The 27045-nt window shown below is 35.8% G+C and overlaps 1 long non-coding RNA gene across 2 annotated transcripts; it reads right to left on the bottom strand.

Annotated features, from left to right (window-relative positions):
* Positions 1-992: 992 nt before the first annotated feature.
* LINC00347 (long intergenic non-protein coding RNA 347) lies at positions 993-5270 on the bottom strand. 2 transcript variants are annotated; one of them, NR_034024.1, is made up of 3 exons: positions 5210-5270; positions 3353-3500; positions 993-2888 (listed from the first exon to the last, which is right to left on the bottom strand). It is a non-coding gene; the product is annotated as a long intergenic non-protein coding RNA 347 (long non-coding RNA). The 2 variants fall into 2 exon arrangements; NR_034025.1 differs by having other exon boundaries at positions 3353-3456.
* Positions 5271-27045: the final 21775 nt, after the last annotated feature.

Below are 27045 nucleotides of genomic sequence, written 5' to 3'. Positions count from 1 at the left end.
CTATAATGGAGATCAAGGGTGAAGAGGGAAGGAGGCTTCCCTGGTGCCCTTTAGTCATTTACAGCATTTTACAAAACAGTGTAGGTAAGGAAGAAGGCTAATCTATAATCAGAGGAACACAGATTACAGTTGCTTAGGTTGCAGCTGCCTGCCATGTAACTCAGGCCTTGTAATCACATTCCTTTAAGGCTCAAAATAATTTATAATTCCAACAGCTTAGATTTTGAATTACTTATTTTCACACTTAAAACCTAAGACCACTGCCAACACCTCTCTCTGTCCTCCAGGAAGAGAGGACAGGGCTTATGCTGGATTGTTCATTATTATTGCCACTGCCTCTCTCTGTGGCTGCCATTATCTAATGATCCCGAGAACCAACTCTTGGGCCTCTCCATTTATGTTGTCTTTTCTTCCTTAAACACTCCTTTACCTCTAAGAGATAGCCTGTGATGGCTTCAAAGATAGCCCCCAAATTCTCTCTTAATCCCTTTCTTCTTGAAGTGGACCGGACTTAGTGATTTACTTCAATTAATTATCTAAAGATGGATATAATGGAATAATACTTTCAAGATAGAATTATAAAAAGATTTCAAGTGGGGCTCACACCGCCAATCTTATTTTGCCTGTCAGCTCTGTTTGTTTTTAGGTATTCTTTTACAGAATACAAGAGTTTTTTGGCAATATTTATATGATATTAGAGCAGATATGCCTATATTTTTTAATCCTAATTAGCAAAGTGTCTATCTTCAACAGGCTAAGTCACCAACTCTTCTCTGTCTCAGTACTGCTTACTTTAATTATCTGTTTGTTATATATTAGTTTGTTTCCCCTAACGAGATCTCTTTACAGGTATGAATGTCTATCATAAGCTACTCAACGTCAAACACCACACTATACATTTTTCTTTTACGATTTGTTGTCCATATAGTCAAGATATCGGTTGAGAATGCATCTTCAGGGGAGGACAAGGTATAGAAGCCATACCTTGAAATATGGTTGCTTTGAGTATTTTATGTAGCATAAAATTGCATTTTATTAATTTTAAATACCTTTAGACAATAACCAGGCCAATTGTCTGTACAGAAGAAATACCCCCAAATACAATATTTCTTTCCTTCTAAAGATGGCTAATTTTTCATATCTCATCACAAGCATGCCCAAGTAGATGAAACAGAAGCATATGCATATATAATAATCATGTATTTCAGTTCCTCATTCTTGGTTGAATGAAGTGAGTATTTAGTTCAGTTTTGGCCAGGTGGTCTTGAGAGCCCCCATTTATTATGAAGTTTTTCATTTGTAAGGACAGAAGCCATTGCCTAGTTTTTCTTAAGTAAAACTGTCTCTGTTGAAAAGATGTCACATTTTATCATTCACTGAAAGTTAATTGATCTGGAGCATTAATAAAACAATGTCTTATATTTACATGGTTCTTTATATTTACAAACAACTTTTCATATTCTTTCTTCTTTGACCTCCCCAACAGATGTGGACCTAAATATACAGCAGGCTTTTCTATTTCTATTTTTCAAATGAGGGAAACAGAATTGCAGTGAAGTTAAATGACTTGTCCAAATCCCACATCGAGTAAGTTATGGCATCAGAAATTGAACAAGGACTTCTGAGGCCATGATGTGACTGATTGATGTCCTCATGCATTAAATCACCAGAAGGAAAGACTATCATTTACACATGAGCAAATTCAGGTCTGGTAGTTTTTGTTACATATGCTTAAACCTTCTTGGGAACAGTCCTCATGCTCTATATTATGTGAAAAGCACAGAAAGCCTCTCCTGCAGTATAACAATCTGTCTTTCATCACACTCATTTGTGTTTCACATGACTGAGTTTGCTGTTTAGGGAATCATCGGAGTACAATTCCAAATGGAGAAAAATCAGATAAAACCCAGTGTTCCTGGCTTCAGTCTGTGTGATTATGAACACAATACTGTACTTACAGTAGGATGCCAGAATGAATAGACGCTGTTGCCTTTGAAAGGATGAGCATTCGTTCGACCTAATAACTACCTGACGATGGGTACAATTATCTTTCTCCGAGTGGCACATTATTATTTGACACATTAATTGTTGTGTCATTTCTTTCTGAAAGGCATGTTGGGTGTCTAATACAAACCAGAGGCTTCATGAATTAGCCATGTCCGAGTGGTGCAGCACTAATTTACTTTTCCAAAATAAAATCAACCCAATCTCGTCACCTGTTTTCAATTACCACAGGCGGACCTGAGCTGCCCTGTGACCTCAATGCTTTCTTCCTGTGCCTTGGCATATCTGATGAACATCAGCAAGGGCCCCCTTACTCACTACAGCTATGAAAGGCCCCTCCTCTGAGGCAAACCACAGAGAGACACATAGCTTTGCAGAATGGAACATCCTTTATGACATAATTTCTGCCCAGGAAGCATTGCACAAGAATATTAGCATGGTCTCCTTTCTGTTGTATCCATTCCACCTTGGTTTCTTTCCACTCTTTTCTAGGAAGGGGTCTTTGTATGGAGGACTGTTTCCAAAGCACAAAGACTCTATGGTCTTAGCAAGGCCCAAACATTTAAGTCTGGATGATCTTCTTCCTTTGCTGCAGCTGCTCTTTGACATCCTGCACAGGGTGATGGGCTGGCGGCCCTGGGTGTGCCTCTGGGCCTGTCATCTGTCGTGTTGTTAGACTGCTGATGAGCTGTCGCTGCTTGTCTTTAAAGTCTGCACTTCTCTCTTTTCCAATTTTGGCTGCCACTAGACAATGAAAATCAAGCAGCCACACAGCCCTTTATCCCCTTCCAGATCCAACTGGTTGAATCAGTCTTGGAGCAGAAAACAGAACCTTCCCATTGTCTTCCCAAACACATGGGGTGTGCCTGTCCCATGGCAAATTACTGTTAAAAAAAATCAGAATTAGAATGTGTTTGACATTGCACACTTTGCTGCTAGTGAATGCCATGCCACCCTGAAGACTCATCTCCCCTTTTGGTTTTCATTGGGTCCTTTTCTGTTGCTTTCTTTTCAGCTTGCACCTGTCCCTGACATATACTGCTGCTGACTACCAAGTGAGTTGTTCAGTGAGCTAGAGGAATGATAAATTAAATATGATATGTATCACTGAATCCGTCTTTGGCTGCTTTATTGTACATTGTAATTTGGGAAGGGACTATTAAAATAAAATACTAAGGAATAAGCAGAAACAGCCCACTGTTAACATGTCCAATGGCAAGAAAAAATTACAGGTTTCATTGTATATGCGGCACCATCTGCCTCTTTGCCGAGGCTGAGCCTTCGGCTTTCCCAGGGGAAATAGCTGTGGATAAGTTATTCAATTAGAACAGCATTATTGGCCAGCTACCTTGGAGAATTGGGTTGATGATGTTGCGATTATCCTCCCGTACATTCCTTCATGTCTCCGGCAGGCTGCAGTGCACGGCAACTTCCTTAAGTGTTTACTGAGCCCTACAGTAGAGGTGAACAATTGGAATGAAGAATATCAAGGATTCCTGAAAGAAAATCAATTTTGAATGAACTTTTCTTGCTTAGCCACAGCTCCAATATTCTGAGTCATACTGTATTTTTGTGGACTTTCATTGAATTAAGTGACATAAATGGCAATCGGGAGGAAAGTGAATTTCATGATATGCATTTAACCTATGGCACTGCATAAAATAATTATTTATGTACAATTGTAAGGTAACAAAAAATACTCAGGTCTCCTCAACTGTGATATTAATCTTAGGCATGGGGAAATCTCATAGGAGCATAATGCTTTTTTAATGAAGACTTTAGCTGTTCTTCAAAAATATTTGTATCATAAAAAGGAGTAATTATTTATGAGTCACTCTCTCAGGAAGTCAGATCCCTTCAAGGGTCATGCCATCAACCAAAAACTTCCTAAATGGGAGCTTTTGGGAATGTTCATTGTTATCTCTAAGATCCTATGGTTTGTAACTAGAAGACCCAACAATATTCCTCTTGCCTCACACAAATATTTATAATATTTTTATATTTTTAAAAATTGTTGGTGCTTAAAGAAAGTTAGACACAAGGAAAAATATTAAAATCTAAAACAATTTATTTTCACAATTATGTATATACACATCCAACTATGCTCTGGTATGCCAAATATTTTCAGGGTGCATATCCACACCCCAGGGGCAGTTCAGGTGATCTTCTATGACTGTTAATTGGGCAGGAAAGCAAATGTGCTCCTCATCACTGGTTCAAATTCTGATGGCTTTGGAAGATATCTGTCTGTATTTCTGTTTTTATAAATTGGAAGAATTATGTTTATATTCTTTGTCTGTGTGTGTGTGTGTGTGTGTGTGTGTGTGTGTGTGATGCTGATATTTTAAGATACTCATTTTTAAGAGCCTCTTATATATTAGGACATAAACCCTCTATTGCAAAAATGTTTTCCCCCAGCATGTCATTAATTTTCATTAAGTTGTTGATATTTCTGATGTTCAAAAGTGTTATTTGCAAGTAGTCAGATCTACTTTTTCACTTGTGTTGTTTTCACGACATTATGTGTAAAGTCTTCACTTGAGATAAGTTAAATATTTACTTACATTTTCTGGGTTTAAAAGTTGAAATGTATTTTCTTTTAACTAATCCATTAGATATGTATGCACATATGTTTGTCTGTGTGAATGTATGTATTTAGCATAGAATGGTCTAAGATAAATGTATGTATGAGATCAGGCTATATTATCAAAAACACTAACATCTCAGTATCTGAGCACACATTTTTTTCCTTGCTCGTGTAAAGTTCATGTGTGTCCTGAAAGCTTTTGGATAGATGCCCTCCACAACAACAACAACAACAACAACAAAAACAAATTAAGAATTTGGACCGCACTTTCACCTGTTAAAAGCCTTTAAGCTCTGTTTTTCAGAGTACTTCAATCTTATGGCACCCCCATCTCAACTCAAAGCTCTGGGTTCACTGTGGAAGAGGAGGAGAATGTGGGAAATGGGTCCATCATCTCTCATGTACTTTGGGCTGGGAAATCATGCATTGCCTCCTGATAGACACAGCCGGGCTACGGGACCAGTCATCTAGCTACGGCCTACTGACTAGAGGAGTGAAAAAGGAGAACTGGAAATATTGCTAAGGACTGGTAGTATCTGCCACAATTTACCCTTTTGTTTCTCCAAATATTCAGTGCAGTCTCCCTCTGGTATAGATATGTATGACAATTATACTCACCTCCCCTCTAAGAGAGAAAACCCCGTGGTCTTCCTCAGTCATGGCATTGAGCTCAAAGTCCAGAATTCAGAATCTCTGAGTGATAGAATTGTCCTTCCGTATCCATGGGGGCTTGGTTCCAGGACCCGCATAGATATCAAATCCACAGATGCTCAAATCGCTGATATAAAATGGTGCAGTATTTGCACATAACTTATACATATCCTTCCATATACTTTAAATCCTCTTTATATAACTTTCAACACCTAATACAATGTAAATACTATGTAAATAGTTAATACTATATTGTTTTATTTACATTAGTTTTTATTGTTATATTGTTTTTATTGGGTTTTTAAAAAATATTTTCCATCCACAGTTGGTTGAATCCTTGGATACAAAGGGCCTACTGCATACTGTACTCTCTATGTCAAGTCTATAGGTAGCTCCCATAGCTTTGGAAACCTAGCAACTAAAATGACAAGTTATCTGGCACTTACACATCTCGTAATTGAAAAAGGAAACAGGAGTCCCTGTTGCTGAAAAATTCTGTCCTTCCAGGCAGACGTTTTTTGAGCCCCCTACCTTCACGAGGCCCGGACTCTGCTCTCCTGGAGGATTCAACTTGGTTCTTGTTCTCTGTGTCTTCTGTCTCCACCCTCAGGGAGATATTTGTCCTTTCCTTTCTCCCTTCTTGGGCTCATATAAAATAGATACTAGAGAATATGAAGTTTTCTTAGCCTACTTCCTACCCAGGGCCCGAGAGGTGTTTTAGCAAGCCGCCCAGGGCAGCTTTGAATGCAGCCTAACACAAATTTGTAAACTTTCTTAAAACATTTTGAGGTTTTTTTTTTTTTTTTTGGTTTTTGTTTGTTTTTTGGTTTTTGGTTTTGCTTATCACCTATCACTAGTGTTAGTTAGTTAGACAATTCTTCTTCCAGTGTGGCCCAGGGAAGCCAAAAGATTGGACACCTTGTTTTAGAGTCTCAAACACTTTTAGTGCAGGCTCACAGTTTCTTAAGCAATACAACTCTCTTAAAACTTTGTTGGTTTTTCTAAGCTATTGGATTCCAATTAATTCCATGTGCCAATAATTACAGCTACGATTCTTTACCTAACACACTTCTTACTTCATCCGTATTTCTTTACACTCTTGTGCCTGTACCTCTCCCTGCTTGAAGACCTGGTAGTTTTCCTGAGTCTATCTGGATTTGATGAGAGAATGGAACCCTTAAGCTCTTTTACCTGAGCTATTTTTCCGATTGAAAAGATTACTGGGCCTCAGGCCCTTAGTTTGATCTTTACCCTAAGGCATTTTTATCTCATTAATTCCTTTTTATAAGTAAAAGTTCAGTTTAAATCTATTATTTATTTTTGTTGTTGTTGTTTGTTTGTTTGTTTTTGAACCAGCTCAATTTTAAAGTCTTTTAACATTTTCTCTTTTACCATTTAGGATTGAAAGCAATTACTGGTTTAACTCATTCAAGACCCCAAATATCTGAACTATTTCCTTTCATTCTTGCTGGCAAACAGATAATACTTTTCAGAACTGTTTTTCTTATAATTCCTTATCAAATACAGCCCATAGCGACCAGCACAGATAAATACCTGCTTTGCGAGATCTCACACTAGAGACACACATTCATTGGGTACACATTCTGCCTCGCACATTATCAGAGGGGACAGTCTTACCAAATGAGTTCCCGCTGCAAAACTTGGCGTTCCGTCTTTCTAGACACAGGTGTCTGCAACAGAGGAAAGAGCATGGACAATCATTCACTGGCTCCTAATTAATTTATCAGAGCCCATTGATCAGAAAGATAAATGTAGCTCTGCAAAACATAGTATGTCCACAGAAAGGAGGAATATTGGAAATATTGGTAATATCTAGAAATCTCTATGCAAAGAAAACTCTAATTTGTGTTTTCTTCCAAAAGACAAATTTTCCTAATTTGTTAAATATCCCCCTTTACCCATTGGTCCTTTTAAAAATAAAACATTTCATAATCTGTCACAGGAGTAGAAAAATAACAATAAAATAAATACTTCAGACATAGTTAGGGTTACAAGGAATAAATAAACAAGTATTTGTGGATACCTACTGTCCAGTGCAAGAAATTAAATTCCCCACCCAGTAGCCTATCCAATTACATTTACTTTCCTACCCAGTTATCTTTTTAGTTATCTTTTTTTTTTTTTTTTTTTTTTTTTTTTTTTTTTTTTTTAGACAGGTTCTCACTCTGTCCCCCAGGCTGGAGTACAATGAAAAGGAAAGATCATGGTTCACTGCAGCCTCCAACTCCTGAGCTCACATGATCCTCCTGCCTTAGCCACCCAAAGCACTGGGATTACAGGCGTGGGCCACTGTGCCTGGTCTTATTATTATTTTTAATTACGCATAAATTGAACATATTTATGGGGTAAGGTGTGAGATTTTGGTACCTGTTTACAAGGTGTAATGATTACATCAGGGTGATTATCACATCCATCATTTCAAACATTTATCGTTTCTTTGTGTTGGGAACATTTAAAATCCACTCGTCTAGCTATTTGAAAATATACAATAAGTTGTTAACTGTAGTCAGCCTATTGTGTGATAGAACACTTAACCTATTCTTCCTGTCTAGCTGTACTTTTGTATTGGTTAACCAACCTCTTACTACATAGTTCCCACATCCTTCCCTTCCTCTAGTAACCACTACTACACTCTACTGGTATGAGATCACATTTTTTAGCTTCCACATGTGAATGAGAATACATGGTATTTGTCTTTATGTGCCTAAGTTATTTTGCTTAACAATGTCCTCCAAGCTCATCCACATTCTGAGTTCTCAAGTATTAGTGTTAGTCCATGTCATGTGTGTCTATTGATTTTTATTGTCAATTAATTCTAACATTAATATCATACTCTTATTTATTCAGGTTATATAGTATGCATTTCTTAGTTCATTTTCTGTTGCTTATAACAGAATACCTGCAACTTTGAAATTCATAAAGAAAAGAAGTTTCTTTCTTACAGTTATAGAGGCTGAGGAGTAAAGCAGGAGGGGCTGCATTTGGTGGGGGCCTTCTTGCTGGGGGAGACGCTGCAGATTCCCAAGGCAGAAGAAGTTATCCATGGTGAGGGGGCTGAGTGTGCTAGCTCAGGTCTTACTTCCTTTCATTAAGCCACCAGTCCCCTTACCACGATAACTTATTAATCCGTTAGCCCACTGGTTTATTAATCTACCTAGGAATAGATTAATTCATTCATGAGAACAAAGCCCTCATAACCCAATCCCCTCTTAAAGTCCCTACCTCTCAACACTGCCACATTCGTGATTAAGTTTTGGAGGGGACAAACTTTCAAACCATGACAATATTCTAATATCTGATAGGACAAGCACCCTTCCTCTCCCTTTATGAAATTATTATTTTTTTAATTTTACTTATTTTTTTATTCTTCCTCCAGGAAATGTAAGATTTTAGTCAAGTTAAAGAAGTTCTACTGGAACTTTTATTTGGTTGTCTTTAAAAGTATGCATTAAATTAAAATAATAAAAATATTTCAGATATTCCATCTTTATATCTACTAGTCTGGCATGTTTACATTTTAAAATTATCATAATTCTCTAGAAAATATTATCTTTCCTTCATGTAATTATCATGTTCTTTTTGTTATAGAAATACCTAAGAATTTTATTTCTGTTGTGATTTGATCTTTTATTTTTTCATCAGTTTATAGATCAAAATTTATAAGACATAGGAAAACAAAGCATTTTTTTCACTTGTTCAGTGCATGTATTAAATGCTTAATAACTTTAAGTGATTTTTTCCATCATTTTTCTGGGTTTAATAATTATATAATCTATTAACAACAATTTGTCTATTTCCTATCACTACATAGCTAATTTCTACTTCATATTTCATTGTAATTTTCAGAATTTTAAGAATGTAAAAATAATAAGTCTATTAATAAGGATCATTGCTTTATTAATTATTTTAATGAAATACTTCTAAAACTTTCAATTATGATAAAAATTTAAGATTGCAATGTTTATCATATTGAGTTATCTTGCCATATCTAGTTTTACCAAAAAAACAGTCAGCAAGAGATGTTAAATTTTATTAAAAGCCTGTGGCCTTTAATTCATATTCACATGTGTTTTGGTTTGCTTTGGTTGAATTTTACCCATGAGCAGTGGTGTATCAAGGGCATGCAGTGGGAGCTGTCTGGCCTGGGTACAGGCCATTGTTTAGAATTTAGAGCAACAAACATGTTTTGTCTAGGAGGAGTGTTTTATCTCTGACATTATATAGAATTGAAAGTACATGATTATAATAAAAAGCAGAAGGACTTTTATTAATTTTATTGTGGTTTTAAAATGCTCTACAACAGTGTATCCTTTTGTAATTATAGCCAGGGCTGATGGCTCCCACTATCCTGTCTCTGGTAAGACATTGCTTATCACCCCTTGTAACATAATAGATTTTCCAAAATAAGCCATCCTTGCACTCCTATGAATAGATTAATACACTTATGAGAACAGAGCCCTCATAAGCCAAACACCTCTTAAAGTCCCTACCTCTCAATACTGCCACAATGGGGATTAAATTTTAGACGGGACAAATATTTAAACCATGGCAATATTCTAGTATCTGATAAGGGTAAGCGCCTTTCCACTCCCTATTTGGAGAATTCTTTTGTATACATACTGTGTAGAATTTAGTTTGTAGGTTTTCTGCAGAAAACTTACATTATATTTATATTATATTTATATTATAGTTATAACTATATACAAACTATAAATATACTGATATATTAAACATAACTATATATAAACTATAAATATAACTATATATTAAATAAATATAAATAAATATGTTTATATTATATTTATATTATAGTCATAACTATTAACTATTACATTATATATATTTTATTTACATTTATTTTAGATATATACTATATAATATCTTCTATTATATATTATATATAAAATGAAGTAATACTTTTGAATAGAAAACCTATAAATATATAATGAAGTAATCATTTTTAATAGAAAACCTACATCTATATATATATATATATATATATATATATATTTTTTTTTTTTTTTTTTTTTTTTTAATTTTTGTGACAGGGTCTCATTCTGTTGCCCAGGCTGGAGTGTCTTTGCCCAGTCATAGCTAACTGCAGCCTTGGACACTTGGGCTCAAGTTATCCTCCTATCTCAGCCTCCAATGTAGCAGAGACTGTAGGCACATGCTGCTGTGACTGGTTAGTTCTTTTCTTCAGAAACGTTTTTTGTAGAGATGTGAGGGTGTCCCACTATGTGGCCCAGGCTAGTCTCGAACTTCTGGCTTCAAGTCATCCTCCTGCCTTGGCCTCCCAAAGCTCTGGGATTACAGGCATGAGCTACTGTGCCTGACATTAATTCTATATTTATATTAAGAATTGGTGTATAATTTTGTGGGGTGGGGGGTGATCAGACATATCATACTTTCATGTCAGAATTGTATTTACTACATAAAATAAATTAGCTAATTATCCTTTATTGATTTTTAACATTTATTTAATTTTAAAGTGTACATTTACTTATTCTACACCCATTAACTTGAGAACAGAATACATGGAAGAAAACTATTCCTTGAGAGTTTGAAATAACTATCCATTAAAGTGTCTGAGTATTTACTTAGTAAATTTTAAATTGTCTTTCAAGTTTTTTTAATTAGAATTTTTACTTTTCAATAAAGAAAATAAACATTTCACTGATATTTTAAAATAGTGACAAAGCTTTTTTACAAATTTTGTCTTGTTATTTTACCCTATTATTCCTTATTTTGTGTATCTGGGTGAGTTCTAGTACTCCTGAATTATAGTTTTCAGAATTCTGTCTGCAGTTCTTTCATGCTACTGGAATTTAATTTATTATTTTTTCTACTACTCTGTATTTTGATTTATTGACTCATACTATTATCTTTACTAATTTCTATTTTTTTAAACTTCCCTAACTTTTGGCTCAATTAATATGTCTTTCTCCTGATACTTGTTTAAGGAGCATTAAGGAATAAAATGGACAGTTAATGGATAGTGGTATTATTTTCTTTATATTCTATAAAATCTAACATTATTTTAGATTTTTCTTTGATACAGTATTATTCAGGAGAGCTTAAATTTCTATATATTTTTTCTTTTGTCAGTTTCTTATTAATAATTTTACTATAATTATTGAATACGATCTGTTTAATTTGTGTTTTGGGGCAAATGAATTTTTGTGGCCTAGTTAATGATCTTGAAACTTTGTTGAAATATTGTTTTATTAAAAATTATAATATTTATCAAAAGGTCGCCAGATTAAACAAAAACTCAATTTTCAAGTGAAAATGATCATTTGGCATCCTGGCATGGTTCAGACAAAATGTACTTCTTTCCAAGAACGTTCAATAGTAATTGAATTGGTGTCACATCACTTTTTATATTTGTACCCAATATAGAAAGACCTGGGTTCAAATACCAGCTCTGCTACAAGTGCTGTCGTTTGAATGTGTCCTCCAAAAAGCATGTGTTGGAAACTTAATCCCCGATGTATCAGTGTTGGGAGGTGGAGCTTAACAGAAGGTGTTTAGGTCATGAGGGCTCTACCTTCGTGAATGGATTAATGCCAATTTTAAAAGAGCCTGGGTCTGCAAATTCAGTCTCTTAGTTTGCTAAGATCTCTTTGCTCTTCCACCATGGGATGACACAGCAAGACACCCCTCACCAGATGCAGCCCCTCAGTTTTAGACTTCCCAGCCTCCAGACCGTGAGCCAAATAAATTTCTGTTCATTACAAACCAGGTACAGGTATTCTGTTATAGCAAAATAAACAAATTAAGAAAACAAGTCACTAAATTCTGACCTCTTAGTTTTCTTGTCAGCAAATGACAAGAATAATACCAACTTTGAGGTGTCTTGTGTGAGAATTAAATGAATTAATGAATGTCAAGTGCAGTGTCTGCCAATAATCGACACTATAAACCATTGGTTCTTCCTAATTTCATTACTTCTGGGAAGAGGTTCTTTTAATTACTTTTGAGACTCTGCTGATTCCTTGCTCACTCTGTCTTTTTTTTTTTTTTTTTTTTTGAGACGGAGTCTCGTTCTGTCGCCCAGGCGGGAGTGTTGTGGCGCGATCTCCGCTCTCTGCAAGCTCAGCCTTCCGGGTTCACGCCATTCTCCTGCCTCAGCCTCCCGAGTAGCTGGGACTACAGGCGCCCGCCACTGCGCCCGGCTAATTTTTTGTATTTTTAGTAGAGACGGGGTTTCACCGTGGTCTCGATCTCCTGACCTCGTGATCCGCCCGCCTCGGCCTCCCAAAGTGCTGGGATTACAGGCGTGAGCCACCGCGCCCGGCCACTCACTCTGTCTTGAGTACACTTTTTCATTCTGTTCTCTTGGCTCTCAGTATAGTTAGTCATCTCTACAGTCTGTCTTGAGCATTAGCAGTGAGGGGATTTTATATCTTCCCAGCTTTTGACAGAAAGAATAACTGCTGTTCTTATAGCAGTTATAGGCTGAAATTTTATCTCCCAATTCCCTAAAGCATGGATTCTTTGACTTTTCCTGAGCAAAAGTATGGGGAGACCAACCAGAGAATTGTACTGTTTGGCCATTTCACAAATTCTGTCAAGAGCATAACAGGTCTCCTCAGTGTATATATATCTAATCTATTATGCTTGTAGCTTACTATAGAGATGATTTGTTTGTTCTAGCAATTTTCCACGTTAAAAATGTACACAAAACATTGAATTATTGCTAAAGGTTCTGATTAACTTACATTTTGAGCTATGATATAGAAATATGACTTGCTGGTCAATAAATAACTAACAACATATTTCAAAAACAACTAAATGATTGTGGAATATTTTAATTGGTTGTTTGGAAAATGTATATTTTAGCCCAAATCTGAGTACATATTAATTACTTAGCATTAATTCTTGATTTTTTAATTTCAGTTTGAAGAAGAAACAGAAAAGCTTCTCTATGAGTTTTAGAAAAAGTACAGTCATCATTTTCTTTATTTTTGCATAACCCCACATAACTAAATATCATTTTGCCAAAATACTTATGTTTCATTTGCCTTCGAAAACCCCTAAATTTTTCTGTATTCAGAAAGCATTCACCTGGCCATTAACATAAGATCATTGCCATTTGTTTGCAGAGATATTCCTGTTAATAATATTACTATGTAAACACGTCAGTTAGCAGAAAAGGTCAATATATGACAATAGTTCTTTTGGCAAAGAACATAGCCCGAATCTGAAGAGCAAATAATATGAGAGCATTTAAGTAATCTTTGTGAGATTACAAAATATGGATGAAGTTTGTAAGTTAGTGAATAAACAGATCATCAGAGATAGCATACTTAAAATTAATTAACTATTGAATATCCCTCATAAAATACTCCTAACAACACAGTCTGAATCTTCAGATGTCATATGTCACATAGTAATTATTATCATTTGTATTAATTGTGTGTTTCATGGAATAATGTAAGACTTCATACTAATGACTTTATATATGTTAGATAATATGCTTGTCATATTAGATAATATACTTGTCATAGTTGTATAATATAACAACTATGAGTTGTTATATTATCTTTTTTGTTAACTTAATCACAGGGCTTGTTAATGTTGGAACTAGTTTTCAAATATAGTTGATCTTCCTCTCCTATATAGATGGATCTCAAAATTTCCTACACACTTTCCTTCATGCTGCAACATTGAAACTTCTTTTTAACAAAAACTGACTTAGTACCAAGAATGGGATTGCATCTAGGAGGAGTCACAGTATGGGACTTCAGGCCAGTAACCTGGTAACAGGCAGAAAGGACACAGATATTACAGGCTGGAAAGCTGGTGGACTAGAGTTATTACATGGAAAAATATTTGTAAACATGTTTCTAGTGAGTTATTGTAAACAGATTACATACTAATCAAGGATGTGGCATTAAGGAAAATGGGTAGGACATTTAAAAATTTTAATATAATTGGCTCACATGAGAGAGATGTACGTGGGTTTCATCCATCAAGTTTGCTCAGATTAAGGAAGTTCTTTCTGCTTGAGACAAGAAATTTATGTTGACTGGAATTCTGAAAATTTGACAACACATGGGGCTGAAAAAGTTACTTGGGGAATTCTGAGAATACAGTGATATCATGGTTTTTAATCTCTGCAACTCCCTACCCCTTATAAAAAGACAGAATTTTAAAAAATAATTTTAATAAAAGAACCTCACACTCACCAACTACATCAAAACTAGGTAATATAACATCACTATGACTCCCCCAAATAAAAGTGCATGGTGACAAATCAGCTAAAAGACCTGTCTTGTATATGCATATATGCAGGAAGAAGTGAAGAGAAGCAACAGAACCTCTGATAGACCCTGACAGGAAACTCAAAATTGCCAACAGCTACTCTGCAAAGTGTGACAAGCTAATCGAAGAATAGCAGCGGAAACTTGTAGGAGGTTTTGAAGGATCCAACTGGTGATTGAGTACAGTGTTTACCAGACTTTCTGAAATTTGGAGTATTCTGCTCTATGAACTCTCAAAATAATCAGCCAAATCTCCTTCCAGGAAAATTCCCCAATCAGATGATTCTTTTGGGAGTAGAATCCAAATTGATCAAAACAGGGATCATAGGGGCAAATAAATTGAAATGGTCAGAATAAACATATGGGAAAGGAACATAGCCAGGAAATCTCAAAAAGTAAGAGGTCATGCTTTTGAACACTTCATGAAATTCACTAAAGAGTATTATAAAACTTTTTTTTTTTAAAGGAGCAATGTATTTATTTGGAGTAAAGTTGATTCAGCCCCTTCATTTATTCATTCAACAAATATATCTTGAGTGTCTCTTAGGGGTAAGACATTGTGCATGATACAAACAAATCTGGATCAGACACAGTATCAACCCTCAGAGAATGTATAACTTAGACTCACAGAAAAACTATACTACATAATAGTAGCTCAAATATTCATTCAAGGGTAAGACCAATATTATACTTCAAAGATATTGCCAAAGAAACACTTACTAAGTTTGTTGGAATGTTATTGTAATTATTGTATAAGAGAGTTCTAAAAGTATTAAAAAATGTAAATATCTTCCCTTGGCAAAAATTATGTATATATCAAAAATTTAATAATATCAAAGTTATTTCAATATTATTACTCAGCAAAGACCACTGCATATATTAATCTTTGTACGTTAGGATATAAAACTAATCATAAAACTGATCATAAAACTATTATCAGAAGACTAATCATAATCACAAAACTAATCATAAAACTGATCATATTGGCAGTTCCAAAAAAACCTAGCCTTAGGTTCTCAAGGTTTATTTATAAATCTCATGTCTAATAAAGTCAGGATAACTGCAAAAGATAAATGATTTAAGTAAAAAATAATATATTACTTTAAAAATTCATTTTTATTTCTATTGACCTGTTGTTTGCAAATTATTAGAAACATTCACTATAATGTTTAGGAAATTCAATTTTTTTAAATTTATTTATTTTATTATTATTATTATTATTATACTTTAAGTTTTAGGGTACATGTGCACAATGTGCAGGTTAGTTACATATGTATACATGTGCCATGCTGGTGCGCTGCACCCACTAACTCGTCATCTAGCATTAGGTATATCTCCCAATGCTGTCCCTCCCCGCTCCCCCAACCCACAACAGTCCCCAGAGTGTGATGTTCCCCTTCCTGTGTCCATGTGTTCTCATTGTTCAATTCCCACCTATGAGTGAGAATATGCGGTGTTTGGTTTTTTGTTCTTGCAATAGTTTACTGAGAATGATGATTTCCAATTTCATCCATGTCCCTACAAAGGACATGAACTCATCATTTTTTATGGCTGCATAGTATTCCATGGTGTATATGTGCCACATTTTCTTAATCCAGTCTATCATTGTTGGACATTTGGGTTGGTTCCAAGTCTTTGCTATTGTGAATAATGCCGCAATAAACATACGTGTGCATGTGTCTTTATAGCAGCATGATTTATAGTCGTTTGGGTATATACCCAGTAATGGGATGGCTGGGTCAAATGGTATTTCTAGTTCTAGATCCCTGAGGAATCGCCACACTGACTTCCACAATGGTTGAACTAGTTTACAGTCCCACCAACAGTGTAAAAGTGTTCCTATTTCTCCACATCCTCTCCAGCACCTGTTGTTTCCTGACTTTTTAATGATTGCCATTCTAACTGGTGTGAGATGGTATCTCATTGTGGTTTTGATTTGCATGTCTCTGATGGCCAGTGATGGTGAGCATTTTTTCATGTGTTTTTTGGCTGCATAAATGTCTTCTTTTGAGAAGTGTCTGTTCATGTCCTTCGCCCACTTTTTGATGGGGTTGTTTTTTTCTTGTAAATTTGTTTGAGTTCATTGTAGATTCTGGATATTAGCCCTTTGTCAGATGAGTAGGTTGTGAAAATTTTCTCCCATTTTGTAGGTTGCCTGTTCACTCTGATGGTAGTTTCTTTTGCTGTGCAGAAGCTCTTTAGTTTAATTAGATCCCATTTGTCAATTTTGTCTTTTGTTGCCATTGCTTTTGGTGTTTTAGACATGAAGTCCTTGCCCATGCCTATGTCCTGAATGGTAATGCCTAGGTTTTCTTCTAGGATTTTTATGGTTTTAGGTCTAACGTTTAAGTCTTTAATCCATCTTGAATTGATTTTTGTATAAGGTGTAAGGAAGGGATCCAGTTTCAGCTTTCTACATATGGCTAGCCAGTTTTCCCAGCACCATTTATTAAATAGGGAATCCTTTCCCCATTGCTTGTTTTTCTGAGGTTTGTCAAAGATCAGATAGTTGTAGATATGTGGCGTTATTTCTGAGGGCTCTGTTCTGTTCCATTGATCTATATCTCTGTTTTGGTACCAGTACCATGCTGTTTTGGTTACCGTAGCCTTGTAGTATAGTTTGAAGTCAGGTAGTGTGATGCCTCCAGCTTTGTTCTTTTGGCTCAGGATTGATTTGGCGACGCGGGCTCTTTTTTGGTGCCATATGAACTTTAAAGTAGTTTTTGCCAATTCTGCGAAGAAAGTCATTGGTAGCTTGATGGGGATGGCATTGAATCTGTAAATTACCTTGGGCAGTATGGCCATTTTCATGATATTGATTCTTCCTACCCATGAGCATGGAATGTTCTTCCATTTGTTTGTATCCTCGTTTATTTCCTTGAGCAGTGGTTTGTAGTTCTCCTTGAAGAGGTACTTCACATCCCTTGTAAGTTGGATTCCTAGGTATTTTATTCTCTTTGAAGCAATTGTGAATGGGAGTTCACTCATGATTTGGCTCTCTGTTTGTCTGTTGGTGTATAAGAATGCTTGTGATTTTTGTACATTGATTTTGTATCCTGAGACTTTGCTGAAGTTGCTTATCAGCTTAAGGAGATTTTGGGCTGAGACAATGGGGTTTTCTAGATATACAATCATGTCATCTGCAAACAGGGACAGTTTGACTTCCTCTTTTCCTAATTGAATACCCTTTATTTCCTTCTGCCTAATTGCCTGGGCCAGAACTTCCAACACTATGTTGAATAGGAGTGGTGAGAGAGGGCATCCCTGTCTTGTGCCAGTCTTCAAAGGGAATGCTTCCAGTTTTTGCCCAGTCAGTATGATATTGGCTGTGGGTTTGTCATAGATAGCTCTTATTATTTTGAAATACGTCCCATCAATACCTAATTTATTGAGAGTTTTTAGCATGAAGGGTTGTTGAATTTTGTCAAAGGCCTTTTCTGCATCTATTGAGATAATCATGTGGTTTTTGTCTTTGGTTCTGTTTATATGCTGGATTACATTTATTGATTTGCATATATTGAACCAGCCTTGCATCCCAGGGATGAAGCCCACTTGATCATGGTGGATAAGCTTTTTGATGTGCTGCTGGATTCGGTTTGCCAGTATTTTATTGAGGATTTTTGCATCAATGTTCATCAAGGATATTGGTCTAAAATTCTCTTTTTTGGTTGTGTCTCTGCCCGGCTTTGGTATCAGGATGATGCTGGCCTCATAAAATGAGTTAGGGAGAATTCCCTCTTTTTCTATTGATTGGAATAGTTTCAGAAGGAATGGTACCAGTTCCTCCTTGTACCTCTGGTAGAATTCGGCTGTGAATCCATCTGGTCCTGGACTCTTTTTGGTTGGTAAGCTATTGATTATTGCCACAATTTCAGATCCTGTTATTGGTCTATTCAGAGATTCAACTTCTTCCTGGTTTGGTCTTGGAAGAGTGTATGTGTTGAGGAATTTATCCATTTCTTCTAGATTTTCTAGTTTATTTGCATAGAGGTGTTTGTAGTATTCTCTGATGGTAGTTTGTATTTCTGTGGGATCGGTGGTGATATCCCCTTTATCATTTTTTATTGCGTCTATTTGATTCTTCTCTCTTTTTTTCTTTATTAGTCTTGCTAGCGGTCTATCAATTTTGTTGATCCTTTCAAAAAACCAGCTCCTGGATACATTAATTTTTTGAAGGGTTTTTTGTGTCTCTATTTCCTTCAGTTCTGCTCTGATTTTAGTTATTTCTTGCCTTCTGTTAGCTTTTGAATGTGTTTGCTCTTGCTTTTCTAGTTCTTTTAATTGTGATGTTAGGGTGTCAATTTTGGATCTTTCCTGCTTTCTCTTGTGGGCATGTAGTGCTATAAATTTCCCGGTACACACTGCTTTGAATGCGTCCCAGAGATTCTGGTATGTTGTGTCTTTGTTCTCGTTGGTTTCAAAGAACATCTTTATTTCTGCCTTCATTTCATTATGTACCCAGTAGTCATTCAGGAGCAGGTTGTTCAGTTTCCATGTAGTTCAGCGGTTTTGAGTGAGATTCTTAATCCTGAGTTCTAGTTTGATTGCAATGTGGTCAGAGAGGTAGTTTGTTATAATTTCTGTTCTTTTACATTTGCTGAGGAGAGCTTTACTTCCAACTATGTGGTCAATTTTGGAATAGGTGTGGTGCTGAAAAAAATGTATATTCTGTTGATTTGGGGTGGAGAGATCTGTAGATGTCTATTAGGTCTGCTTGGTGCAGAGCTGAGTTCAATACCTGGGTATCCTTGTTGACTTTCTGTCTCGTTGATCTGTCTATTGTTGACAGTGGGGTGTTAAAGTCTCCCATTATTAATGTGTGGGAGTCTAAGTCTCTTTGTATGTCACTCAGGACTTGCTTTATGAATCTGGGTGCTCCTGTATTGGGTGCATATATATTTAGGATAGTTAGCTCTTCTTGTTGAATTGATCCCTTTACCATTATGTAATGACCTTGTCTCTTTTGATCTTCGTTGGTTTAAAGTCTGTTTTATCAGAGACTAGGATTGCAACCCCTGCCTTTTTTTGTTTCCCATTTGCTTGGTAGATCTTCCTCCATCCTTTTATTTTGAGCCTATGTGTGTCTCTGCACGTGAGATGGGTTTCCTGAATACAGCACACTGATGGGTCTTGACTCTTTATCCAATTTGCCAGTCTATGTCTTTTAATTGGAGCATTTAGTCCATTTACATTTAAAGTTAATATTGTTATGTGTGAATTTGATCCTGTCATTATCATGTTAGCTGGTTATTTTGCTCGTTAGTTGATGCAGTTTCTACCTAGTCTCGATGGTCTTTACATTTTGGCATGATTTTGCAGCGGCTGGTACCGGTTGTTCCTTTCCATGTTTAGCGCTTCCTTCAGGAGCTCTTTTAGGGCAGGCCTGGTGGTGACAAAATCTCTCAGCATTTGCTTGTCTGTAAAGTATTTTATTTCTCCTTCACTTCTGAAGCTTAGTTTGGCTGGATATGAAATTCTGGGTTGAAAATTCTTTTCTTTGAGAATGTTGAATATTGGTCCCCACTCTCTTCTGGCTTGTAGAGTTTCTGCCGAGAGATCCGCTGTTAGTCTGATGGGCTTCCCTTTGAGGGTAACCCGACCTTTCTCTCTGGCTGCCCTTAACATTTTTTCCTTCATTTCAACTTTGGTGAATCTGACAATTATGTGTCTTGGAGTTGCTCTTCTCGAGGAGTATCTTTGTGGCGTTCTCTGTATTTCCTGAATCTGAATGTTGGCCTGCCTTGCTGGATTGGGGAAGTTCTCCTGGATAATATCCTGCAGAGTGTTTTCCAACTTGGTTCCATTCTCCCCGTCACTTTCAGGTACACCAATCAGACGTAGATTTGGTCTTTTCACATAGTCCCATATTTCTTGGAGGCTTTGCTCGTTTCTTTTTATTCTTTTTTCTCGAAACTTCCCTTCTCGCTTCATTTCATTCATTTCATCTTTCATCGCTGATACCCTTTCTTCCAGGTGATCGCATCGGCTCCTGAGGCTTCTGCATTTTTCACGTAGTTCTCGAGCCTTGGTTTTCAGCTCCATCAGCTCCTTTAAGCACTTCTCTGTATTGGTTATTCTAGTTATACATTCTTCTAAATTTTTTTCAAAGTTTTCAACTTCTTTGCCTTTGGTTTGAATGTCCTCCTGTAGCTCAGAGTAATTTGATCATCTGAAGCCTTCTTCTCTCAGCTCGACAAAGTCATTCTCCATCCAGCTTTGTTCCGTTGCTGGTGAGGAACTGCGTTCCTTTGTAGGAGGAGAGGCACTCTGCTTTTTAGAGTTTCCAGTGTTTCTGCTCTGTTTTTTCCCCATCTTTGTGGTTTTATCTACTTTTGGTCTTTCATGATGGTGATGTACAGATGGGTTTTTGGTGTGGATGTCCTTTCTGTTTGTTAGTTTTCCTTCTAACAGACAGGACCCTCAGCTGCAGGTCTGTTGGAGTACCCGGCCGGCTGTGTGATGTGTCAGTCTGTCCCTGCTAGGGGGTGCCTCCCAGTTAGGCTGCTCGGGGATCAGGGGTCAGGGACCCACTTGAGGAGGCAGTCTGCCCGTTCTCAGATCTCCAGCTGCGTACTGGGAGAACCACTGCTCTCTTCAAAGCTGTCAGACAGGGACACTTAAGTCTGCAGAGGTTACTGCTGTCTTTTTGTTTGTCTGTGCCACCTAAGCAAGCCTGGGCAATGGCGGGTGCCCCTCCCCCAGCCTAGCTGCTGCCTTGCAGTTTGATCTCAGACTGCTGTGCTAGCAATCAGCGAGACTCCATGGGCGTAGGACGCTCTGAGCCAGGTGTGGGACACAATCTCGTGGTGCGCCGTTTTTTAAGCCCTTTGGAAAAGCGCAGTATTTGGGTGGGAGTGACCCTTTCTTCCAGGTGCCGTCTGTCACCCCTTTCTTTGACTAGGAAAGGGAACTCCCTGACCCCTTGCACTTCTTGAGTGAGGCAATGCCTCGCCCTGCTTCGGCTCGCGCACGGTGCGTGCATCCACTGACCTGCGCCCACTGTCTGGCACTCCCTAGTGAGATGAACCCGGTACCTCTGATGGAAATGCAGAAATCACCCATCTTCTGCGTTGCTCACGCTGGGAGCTGTAGAATGGAGCTGTTCCTGTTTGGCCATCTTGGCTCTTCCCTCCTATAAAACTTTTTTTTTTTAAGCAACGCTGACATGTCTCTTACCTCTAAAAGTATTAGAAAAGCAATTTCCTGGAAATTTAGTGAAAGAATTATAATCAAATCCCATATAAAGTTACTATAAAAAATAAGACAATGAAAAGATAAATTATATTCTTACAGACTATAGGAGTTTCCTTACCAATATATTGAATCAGTTAGGTCTTGCAGATTTATTCAAACTCTGATTACTGTTAATAAAACACACTTGCATTTTGAGGTCATGGATAAAAGATAAAATGTCACAAAGAGCAAAATAACTTTGAATTAGAAAAAGTCAGAAATGGGAAGGGTGTGATGGCTCACGCCTGTAGTCCTAGCACTTTCAGAGGCCGAGGCGGGCAGATCACAAGGTCAGGAGATCAAGACCATCTTGGCTAACAAGGTGAAACTCTGTCTCTACTAAAAATACAAAAAAAAAAAAAAAAAAAAAAAAAAATTAGCCGGGCGTGGTGGCGGGCACCTGTAGTCCCTGCTACTCAGGAGGCTGAGGCAGGAGAATGGTGTGAACCCGGGAGGTGGAGCTTGCAGTGAGCCGAGATTGCGCCACTGCACTCCAGCCTGGACGACAGAGCGAGACTCCGTCTCAAAAAAAAAAAAAAAAAAAAAGTCAGAAATGAGATCATAGAACTCAGCAAAATATTAGAAAACAAATATTAAGAAATGAAGTCTAAACTAGAAGGAACATAGAACAAAGCAACACAATAGATACAATAGATAGAGAAATAGAAAGAAAAAAGAAGAAATATTTAAAAATAAAAAAGAAAGAGAAAGATTAAAGGAGTCCAGAAAAAAAATGTTAAAATATGTGCACAATAGGAGTCCCCAAAGAGGAAAATGAAAACAATGAAATGAAAACAAGATTAAAAATGAAAATTCAAAATCTTCCTTGAAATAAAATACAGTTGAAACTATATGCTAAAATGACACTACTTAGCTAGGAAAAGTCAACTCAAAAATGACAAATTCTAGGCATATTCTAAGAAAATTACTGATCCTACAGAATAAAATAAAATAAAGGAAGAAAAAGAAATAAAAAAAGGGAGATTTCCAAAACACATCAAGCCAGTTATGAAGGAAACAAAAACAGATTTTGAGCATGTTTCTCCATAGTAATACTTTATGCCAAATCACCATAGTATAAAATACATTTAGCTACATTGGAAAAGAAATTAAAATTGGGGGTATATTTTACATCCAGCCAAACTAACTGTTAGATATAGAGGCCACAGAAATATGGTTGTAAATATCATTCATGTTCCCATAAACCTCTACGGAGAAAGCTACTAGGAAATTATCTTCCAACAACCAAAACTGCAAGAGAACCATCAACTTAAGGACTTTTGATAAGCATTAAAAATGTTTACATGTAAAACTTAGATTAATAATGGTCTCAAAGGAGATAGTATAATATATAGTAGCTGTATGTCTGACAATGTAGGTATAGGACAATTATCAAAAATGATGGGAGAAAGCAAATAAAAAGTATAAAAAGATTACTAGACATAAGTGGGTATTACTTTAAATCATATGTCTTAAGACAAGGAAAGGAAAAGATAAAATTAATAGCTAATGTCAATATTGCTTATCATAGGAAGCCAATATGCAATAACCAAAGAAGCAAAAAGGCATTGAAAAGAGAAATAGGGCTCTAATATAATAATACTGATATAAAATTACTCATTAGAATAAAAATATAGACTTTCTTAAATACTAAAATATCTATTTAAAAGAGAGAATGAGAAAAAAGACCATTTAATGACAAACTATTCACATAAAAATTTGTATAAATATTAAAGTAACATTAAAAATATGATTAAATAGATGAACTATATAAACACACATGTACATAATCTGAAATTTTCCTTTTATTTATAAGATATATATACATATCTTATATATATTTATTATATATATTTATATATATAGTTTAAGTAAAAGCAAATTTGTAGATTAGCTGACAAAAAATATCACACAACTTAAAGAAAGTGATTCAGAATAATGTTTTTATTTTTATTTTAAGGATTGATGAAAACTTACTGGACAAATGAGGATAAAAGAAAGCAGGGTTACAATCTTGATATCTGAGAAAATAGAATTTAGAACAAAACAAATGCACTGAAAGAAACAAAGGTTACTATTGGATGTCAAAGACTGCAATTCAAATAATTTTTTAATACGTATACATCCAGTGCCACAACAAGCTTTAATAAAGCAGAAATTATAGAAGATGCAAGGAAAAATAGAAATACAGCAAAAAAGAAGTGTGAGGGGTGGTACTAAATCCTACAATATAGTAAAACATACTACTAAGTCTGTAGTTTTAAAAGTTTGGTATTAGTGAAGATAGCCAGAGGAACAGAAGAGAAAATTTAGAATTAGGCCCATTTATATATGGATTTAGTATACAATAAGGGCAACATCTCAAATTACTAGAAAAATATATATTTTTAAAAACGTGGTGTAAAAATATATACTTGGGTGAATTTCAAGTGAACAAGAGATTCTATTAAAGAAATGAAGCCGTACAAATAATAGAAGGAAACTTGGTTGAATTTTTCTCTATGCCTAGTCTGAACAAATATTCCATAGTTAGACCAAATCCAGAAATAATAAGGAAAAGTACATTTGCTTACATAAAATTTGTAAAACTATATATGACAAAGGAAAAATAAGGAAACAACAATAATGTATTTAGGAAAATATTTGCAACTTATATCACATACAAAGTCTCAGTATCATACTACATAACAAGCTTCTAAACATATAAAGAAAAGCACCAACCATCCTACAGAAAAATGAGCTAGGGAAATGAACAAACAGTTCATACTGAAAGAAATACAACTGGCTCTAAATCATATAAAAATATTCTCAAGCTTGCTCAAAAAAGAAAAAAAAATGTCAATTAAAACTACATTGATACCATTTTTCATATATTATACTGGCAAATATCCACAGCTTTGACAACACATTCTCTTGGAAAGGCTGTAAAGAAACTGGCACTCTCATATATTGCTGATGGGAATGCAAAAAGATACGTAACACATGGAGGGAAATTTGGCAATTGCTATGAAAATTGCATGAGCACTTTGACCCAGAAATTTTACTTCTGGGAATTTATCTCAAAAATACACTGGTAATTTTCAAAAAGAGATCTGTACGAAAAATATGCACCATATAGACATATAGTTATCATGAGACTATTTGTAAAAGCTAAAAACTTGAAACACATTAAATGTCCATCAACAGAGAATGATTGAATAAACTCATGTACAATCACACAGTGGAGAATCATGTAGCTGTGAAAAAGAATTAGGAATATTTATATACTTTTATGAAGTAATGTCTACAATATATTGTTAAGTGAAAAAGAAGGTAGTACATAAGCACTTATCTAACAAAGGAAGATATATGTGTGTTTAGATAAGGAAGATATGTATATTTCTTTGTTAGGTAAGGAAGATATATATGTATCTTCCTTTGTTAAGAAGGAAGATGTGTGTGTGTGTGTGTGTGTGTGTGTGTATATATATATATGAAGGAAAGAAGATATATATACACATATACATAGTGTGTGTATATTTATATATACACACACACTTTCACATACCACTGTATGTGTGTGTGCATGCTTATAGTTATATTTAATAAAAGCAAAGAATTAAAAAATAAACAATAAAATTCAGAAAACACTTGTTATATTTATGGTGAAGTGATGACACAGGATGAAGATAGAAGAGCTAGATTTCTGGGAATATGTTTCGTTTATAATCTTTGCTAGACTAGTCATATGTATACTCAATTTAAATCTATTTAGAGTTGTTGCTTTAATGCCTTGGGAGCAGAGACTCTTTACATCCTTAGAACTACAACATTCTGGTTGATCAATTCTCTTTAGGTGGTAACTTGAATAGTATGGCTGTTCCTTTATAGAACAGAATCTGAAGCCCATAAAACAGTTTGACAACTATTGAATTAGAAAAGAGAATTATCTCTCATATACTAAATCTACACAAGATTACATATTTTCATTATTACTTACATGTTGATTACAACAAAACACACATATAACTCAAATTTTTAAAAAGGAAAAATTGAAGAATTTTAAGATGAAGAATAAAAGAATATATGTTTATATCAAATGTCAACATAGTTGTTGCTGGACATAAAATTGGCTGTAATCTTTCTAGAAGTCAAAATAAAACAAGTTTCATATCTCTTATTTTCAGACAGAATACAAATAATTCAGCAAGGGATACAAAGTAATTTCTGGTCCAATATTCAGAAAAAAATTATCAGAAAATTATGTAGAAAAGAGGTGACTTTATCAGTTAGAATTCCTTCACTTGCAAGTCATGGAAAATCTATTCAAACCAGCTTAAACAATAAGGCTAACCTTGAAAAAAGAGGAAGACCATTTCCAGAAGCCTAGAAAGCCTCTTTTCATGTCTTCACCCAACTTGGAATACTTAGATCAATAAGTCTCTAGAAAAGGAGGTGGAGTCAGCTACCCCAATATTTGTGTACTCCATGGAGTAGAGATGAATACGGTAACAAAATTGACTTCTGCTAAAAAAATAAAAAATAAATTGGCCAGGCATGGTGGCTCAGGCCTGTAATCCCAGTACTTTGGAAGGCCGAGGCAGGGGGATCACCTGAAGACAAGAGTTCGAGACTACCTTGGCCAACAAGGTGAAACTCCCATCTCTACTAAAAATACAAAATTAGCCAGGCAGGGTCACGCACTTCTGTAATCCTAGCTACTCAGGAGGCTGAGGCATGAGAATCACTTGAACCTGGGAGGCAGTGGTTGCAGTGAGCCGAGATTGCACCACTGCACTCCAGCCTGGGTGACAAGAGAGAAACTCTGTCTCAAAAAAAAAAAAAAAAAATTAATTAATTTTAAAAAAGAGGACAGAGGGATGGCAAACTCCAATGACCATTACTATGAGTTAATGGGAATTGTCTTTATCATCAACTTTCTACAATTACCGAGTGGATTTTATGCAACCATTTCTCACTCATCTTTGTTAGAAATCAGGCCTCATAAGAAAGACATCTCAGCCAAGTTTACAAATATGTAGCCTTTATCCAAGTGAGATTGAACTGAGAATGCCTACAAGGAATATTGAAAGCACTTCCCTTTGACTAACGTTTTCTAACCCAAATTAAACGGCAGATGAGTAAACTGTAGGAATTCTATAAGATAGATTCAGGAAGTTATGAAGCAAAATACGGGAAAGGCAGAGGGAGCCACTGCACTGCAATATCCATCAAAAAAGAAAACGAAAAAGAGGACAGGCTTTTACGCACTGTTGTAAACAATCCTGCCTGAGTAGCACT

The sequence above is a fragment of the Homo sapiens genome, chromosome 13 (assembly GCF_000001405.40).
Source record: "Homo sapiens chromosome 13, GRCh38.p14 Primary Assembly".
NCBI lineage: Eukaryota > Metazoa > Chordata > Mammalia > Primates > Hominidae > Homo > Homo sapiens.
Note: the sequence above shows the minus strand (reverse complement) of the source record. Positions and strands in the feature narration are given on the sequence as shown.